Source organism: Homo sapiens, chromosome 10 (genome assembly GCF_000001405.40).
Source record: "Homo sapiens chromosome 10, GRCh38.p14 Primary Assembly".
Classification (NCBI taxonomy): Eukaryota; Metazoa; Chordata; class Mammalia; order Primates; family Hominidae; genus Homo; species Homo sapiens.
This window is the reverse complement of record NC_000010.11, coordinates 84904756-84911059: the sequence shown is the minus strand read 5'-3', so window position 1 is coordinate 84911059 and position 6304 is coordinate 84904756. Positions and strand designations below refer to the sequence as shown.

Sequence of the window (6304 nt, the reverse complement as noted above, 5' to 3'; positions counted from 1 at the left end):
GATGATAAAGAAATAAGTTAAGGGACAGAGACTGGACCCTGGCAACATGCAAATCTCTGGTTCCAGTTGGCCTGTGAATCAGTTGCATACCTGACCTTCCCACAATTATATGAACAATACCCTGAGACTCCTGCAATAAATGGCATTCATACCTAAGCTCGAATGGTCATCTTCTACCATTTTCACACATAACATTGCCACTGCTGTACTGTTACTAGGTAGCCTCAGAATTTCTTTAAGGCTGACAAGATATAATTGCTTTGAGGAACAAACTCTGACCAAAAATATAAGTTTTATTACAGAATAGCATTTTCTTGGGAGATTCTAAGTCCCCCAAAGAAGATTTTTCATGGACCTTTAATAAGAAAGGTAATTGAAGTTGAGACTTGAGACTCTGCCACTTCAATTTTTTTTTTTTAATTGTACGGCCAGGCATGGTGGCTCACACCTGTAATCCCAACACCTTGGGAGGCTGAAGTGGGCAGATCAAGAGGTCAGGAGATCGAGACCATCCTGGCCAACATGGTGAAACCCCGTCTCTACTAAAAATACAAAGATTAGCCAGGTGTGGTGGCGCATGCCTGTAGTCCCAGCTACTCAGGCGGCTGAAGCAGGAGAATCAGTTGAACCTAGGAGGCAGAGGTTGCAGTGAGCTGAGATTGTGCCACTGCACTCCAGCATGGCAACAGAGCAAGACTCTGTCAAAAAAAAAAAAATTACTATATTATGGTGGCCTGTCCAATGCCTTTCTAAAAATAAATGAGGAAATCTCAAAGACTTACATCAAAGCAAGGTAACAAAAGAAATTCCAAATAATTGGCAATCTGAGGTGTTATGCAGGATATTAGGTTGCTATTTCCAAAGAAACACTTTGGAAATAAGGAACCTGAGGTCCTAAGATGGTAAGCAACATCTTTGAGGACAGTCAGGTGCCAAATGGTTGATGTGAGAGTGGGAAGCAGGCCTGTTTAAAACCAAAGCACGGGCTTCTTTCTCCAAACCACTCCCACACTTCTGCCTGCAAGACAACCTCACCGAGACAGGTTCCTGAGTTCTCTATGCACACTTCGGTGTCACTTAACCTAAAAGCTAAGGTATTGCTGGCTGACATAGAATCTTCTTGGGGACGATAACTTTTATTGCTGTCGGTAGTGATTGGACCCCAGACTCCAGTGATTGGAACTGGAGCTGTTCATAATGACTCCCGGTTAGAACCATCAGTGTGTGATGAGGCGTTTAATTTATGTTGTGAATCAGGGAGCAAACCAAGGAATATCTACATGGTTCTTTCCAAGCCTACAGCACTTCCTGGCCCTACTAAGTACTCCCTGCCCTGCCAAATGTTTCCATAGAAACAGATGCCTGTTGCTATGAAAAGGCCAGTTCAGTTCTGACTGATCTACAGAAGGAATCCCCTGGTGCCTAGAGTCATCAAGAGAAACACAGACTTCTGGGAGTCGCTCCTGGAAAGCAGCTGAGTTGGGTGTTGGAGTATAGTGGAGTCAGGAGGAGGAATCCTAAATTAAAGAGGTGATGAATTTGATTCAATAACAGTTGTGCTGCCAACCTTGAGGAAGGCTGAGTGTATGCTCCTCCAATTTCCTGGTGGCTAGGGCTCTTGCAGGTGTGTCCTGGAACCTTGGCTTCTGGTTTCCACTGTGTTTCCCACCTCTCACCCTCGTAATCTCCATGCTGAGTGCGTGCTCTCTCTGCATGTTCCATCCATCTGGCACAAGGAACCATCACAGGAGCAACCCATATGCTACACTCCCCACATTGTTCACCTCCTTATGCCCAGATTTCACTGCCACAGGGATGCTTTCCTGTCAAACAAAGAGATTATGAGCTCTGGCGTCAGACAGCCCTGGGTTCTATCTAGAGCTGTTTCACAGAGTGGTTGGAAGGAAAAGCGAAGAAGTTGCTCCGAAGAAAGATACGGCGCGGTAGGGGTTAGGGACTGAAGGGAAGTGGCCCTATTTGAGTTAAGAGTGAGCAGAATTGAGTAGGGCCTTCTCTCCAGAGACTCTACATTGTCCCCTATCCTCTGGTCGCCTGCTGAATTTCTTATCCATGTCTGAGCTGTAATTCCCAGGACCCCTGTAGCCCTACCTTACCTCTCCCAGAAAACTGGGGGCCCTTAGATGCCACTGTTAGATTACTTGGGCTTTGAATCCTTCCCTAAGGCTTACCATTAACCAGCCTTCCAACCACAGCAGCATTCTACACTCTGGCCCCACGAACCCTCTGTGCTGATGTGTCCAAATATCATTGCTCTCTCACCCTCCAGGTCTCAACCTCACACAGACAGCCTCTCCTTGGGGCCACTTAGGAGCTTGATTGAGTCCCTAGTCTATGAGTCATGAGTCTTTATGAATCATAGACGGCATCTAGCTCCTCCTGGAACTGGAGCCAGCCTCAGATAGTTTAAGAGAAAGGGCACATAAGAGCCAGCTTCCTGGTGTCCCATCCTGGTGAGCACTGGCCCCGGGGAGTTGCACAGAAATGGCTGTCACAGCAACTGATGCTCCGAAACAAGGTCCCAGGCCTCTCTACTTTCTTGTGTGCTGGCTCTGCCTCTTTGTCATCTCTCTTTCTTTTGTTTTCTTCTCTTTAACTCTCCCTCTCTTTTCTCTCCCTCCTGCCATCTTTCCCTTTCCCTTTCTCATTTTTTCCCATATTGCCACCTTCCCCTGCCTCTTTCTCTCCTTGGCTTTGGGTCTTTCTGGCTCTCTCCTTTCTTCATCTCTTGAAGCTGTGGCCTCTTCCCCCAAGAAGGCTGGAAGAAGCCTAGAGAGCCCCACCTGCTCACGGCCCTCCCACTCAACATTCACACTCCAGAGAAGACACGAGCTCATCCTCAGCGCATGCTTTGTGCTCCAGGGAACCACGGATATCCCTGTGCCCAGGGAAGCCCTGTGACCCCGGGTCCCAGCACAGTCCGCTAGAGATGCTCTCTGCACGGCTGAGATTGGCCCTGCCTGGGAAGGCTGTGTAATGGCAGCCTGGTCCGCAGGAGGAGTCTGAGGAGGGGACTATACCAACTGCTAGCTTCCTTGCCCTCCATGTCATTCCCACCACTTACCGCTTATCACCACGCTTTGCAGGTGCTGCCACACAGGGTCTATCACTTCCTCTGCTCTTTTCTGTAGCCAACTGTATTGGGAGGGTCACCTCCCTGCAAGCAAAGCTAGAGCTATTTATAGTCTCATTCCCAAAAGGCTCCAGGGAAAGCTGTGATCCTGGAAGTGGACAGTGTAATTACTTACATGGGACCACCCACACAGCAACCCCAGAGCATGGCTCTTAGCTCTCCCTCTGACATGTAATTGATACATAGGCTTTTTCTTCTATCTGCTGAATTGAAGTTGAAGGACAAGACCTTCTGCCAGCACTAACCATGAGAAGCCCTGGAGGGAAAGGCTGGCCCCTCTCTGGGTTGGGGTATTGCTAATAATTTTTCCCTCAGCTACAGGGGCAACATCTGGGCTCCAGCCAAGCCCACCCTGGGGCCAGGATTGCTCTGGCATCAGTCCCGCCTTGCCTGACTTTCTAGTCAGGCGCTCCCTAGCAGTAGCAATATCAAAGGGGAAAGTGATATGATAGGATCCCTTCAAAGTCCCAGTGTTCTGTTGCACAGCAGGGGGACTGTGGTTAACAATACTGTATGGCATATTTCAAAATAGCTAGAAGAGAGGATTTTGAACATTCTCACCATAAGGAAAGAATCCAAATTTGAGACGATGGATATGTTAAAAATCCTGCTTTGGTCGTTACACAATGTATACATATATGGAAACATCACACTGTATCCCATAAATATGTATGGTTATTTATGTCAATTTAAACAAAATTTTAAAGAGCAACTTCTCAGGATGTGAAAATCCAGTGGGGAAGGATTGAAGCAAGTCCAAAACAGAGCCTCCTCCCAACTCCCAACCCAGATCCTTCTACTGTAAGGCATCTCCCTGCAGCCTCAGATGGTATACCTTTAAAGCCCCTAAGATAACTGTGGACATGTGTACATACATTTATGTGCACGCATCTATTTGTGGGTACTTGTTAAAGGATTTCTAGGATTCAATTAGATCAAAGATGTAAAGCACTCACCACAGGGCTTGGAGTAATAATTTGTCATCTTCCTTGTTTACTTTGAGCTCTTCTATAGAAGTTAGAAAAGGGTCACCTTATAAACATCTTTTCCTGTCTTATAATTATTGTCATTATCTAAATTACCAGAATAGGTTGAAATAAAGAGTATTTTATCTCCCTGTTTCCCAACACTAGAGGAGACCAGCAGAACGGAAATAATTAGAGTAGAAAAATTATTTCTCATTCAGTAAGATAGCTGTATCCTCTCCAGCCTCTTTTATTTTTTAAGTTGCTGCACCAGAAAAAATGTTTTATAGGATTTTATGTGGGAGGGAAATAATAGAAAATTTCTATAGAAATCGTTGACAAGCTTATTTTGTTTGTTCCAACAGGCAGGCAGTTTTCCTGTCAGATACCATGGAGAGTGAATACTTTGAATATTTTCCTTTGGATATTGTGAGCAATTTTCAACAGCAATTATTTAAAATATTTATGAAAAAAACTGGATAAGTCTGTCATCTGAAAAACATGTAGGTAGGTATCAAAATGTCTGTTTCTGGAGATTGAGTCTCATACCAGAAAAATCCCCCAAAACAATTGGATGGCCTGCATCAAAGCTATTTAAAAAATCCAGATAGAAAGTGCTCCAGGAATATCTAAGTAAGGAGAATAGGAGAAGAGCCAAGAGAGGAGGAGAAAGGGAAAATGAGGAAGAAGTAGAAGGAGAAAGAAAGAGAAAGACCTAGAGAGACAGGGAGACGTAGTTGGCCACACACAGCAAGAGACCAGTGATGACAGTGAGGCAGACATTGGGGCCATGGGGAGTTGTGTGAGCTACAGAATGCCTGGCTCTGCTCTGAACAAGACCTGGAGGTCTTTACGTTTCTAACTGCCCGGGAGGGTGAATGTCAACAGACTTTTGCAGAAGAACAATGAGCTGAGAGTGAGTCTGAATCATTTGCCTTCCATGTGTCATCCAATCACAGCTGCTAACACCTGCAGTGGCTCTGCAACCATGAGCTGGGAATAATACAAAGTCATGTTCTCACCATACTTGCCCAGAGGACCTGGGCCTGGATGGAAGAGCTTCATTGTAGGAGAAGGTTATTGACAGATGAGAAGTATTTATCCAATATGTCTTTGTTCTATGACTCTTATCAGCCCAGCTAGAGGGAAGCCTTGAACAACCAGTCTCCTGTTCCTGGGCTCATATCTTTTTCTAAGCAATATGGCCTTCCCAGTGACAGCATCATCATCCTTCTTCATCACCACCACTATCATCATCCTCATCACCATCATTATCCCCATCATCAGAGCAGCTACTCGTTATTGAGCATTTACTATGTGCTGGATATATACATATATATATATATAATCTGGAAAATAACTGTGTGAGGGAGGCCCTATATACATCCCAGTTTTGCAGTTTTGCATAACGCAGGCTCAAAAAGTTAAGTAACTTTCCCAAGAACAAACAGCTGCTATATCAGAAGCAAGGCTCATATCCATAGCTTTTCTAGTCCAAAGACTCTAGAACAAGCTAAATAAAATGAACAAATGGGGTCTTCTATATCAGTTTGTCCATGACTCTCCACCACTGCTGCACCCCACCTATTTCAGATCCAGGGACATTGCCAAGTGACAATGGGGGCTCCTTCCCTAAGAGATTGATTGGCTTATAGAAAAGTTTGAATGAATCCAATTCTATTGTATATGAATGTTCTTCACATTAGGAGTCCATGTACTTTCTCATCCCCTAATTTACCTGTACCCTCATCCATTTGGCAAATAGTTATGGAGTGTCTATTTTGTGTCTGACACTATTTTAGGTGTTAAGAATAGGGTGTGAACAAAACATACCAAGCTTATACTTTAGAGAAGGGAGATCAATATGTAATATGAAAACAGAAATAATTCTATGAAGAACAAAAAATGTAAGAGTATAGAAAGCAATGGGAGGTGGTGAGGGTGAGCGACAGCTCTCTGATGAACAGAAGCCTGAACACAGTGAGGGCTGAGCTATGAGTGTATGTGAGAGAGGTTCAGTGCTGGCTTAAAGAAGAGCAAGTGCAAAGCCCCCAGCCTAACAAGAGCATCCCTGGTGTGCTGCAGGAACAGTGAGGGCACCAATATTGCTGGTGAAAAGATGAAGTCAAAGCAGGCACCAGATAATTTAAGACTTTGGAGGGTCTGATGCGGATTTGGAATTTTAGTT

At 44.8% G+C, this 6304-nt stretch overlaps 1 annotated feature.

The window, feature by feature from the left end:
- Positions 273-442: an enhancer, noted in NCBI's record as "experimental_17744 CRE fragment used in MPRA reporter constructs". NCBI's record gives its function as "activates a minimal promoter by MPRAs in K562 erythroleukemia cells, with activity observed for the non-introgressed 10:86670459 variant allele {active_cell/tissue: K562}" and the evidence as "EXISTENCE:reporter gene assay evidence [ECO:0000049][PMID:34662402]".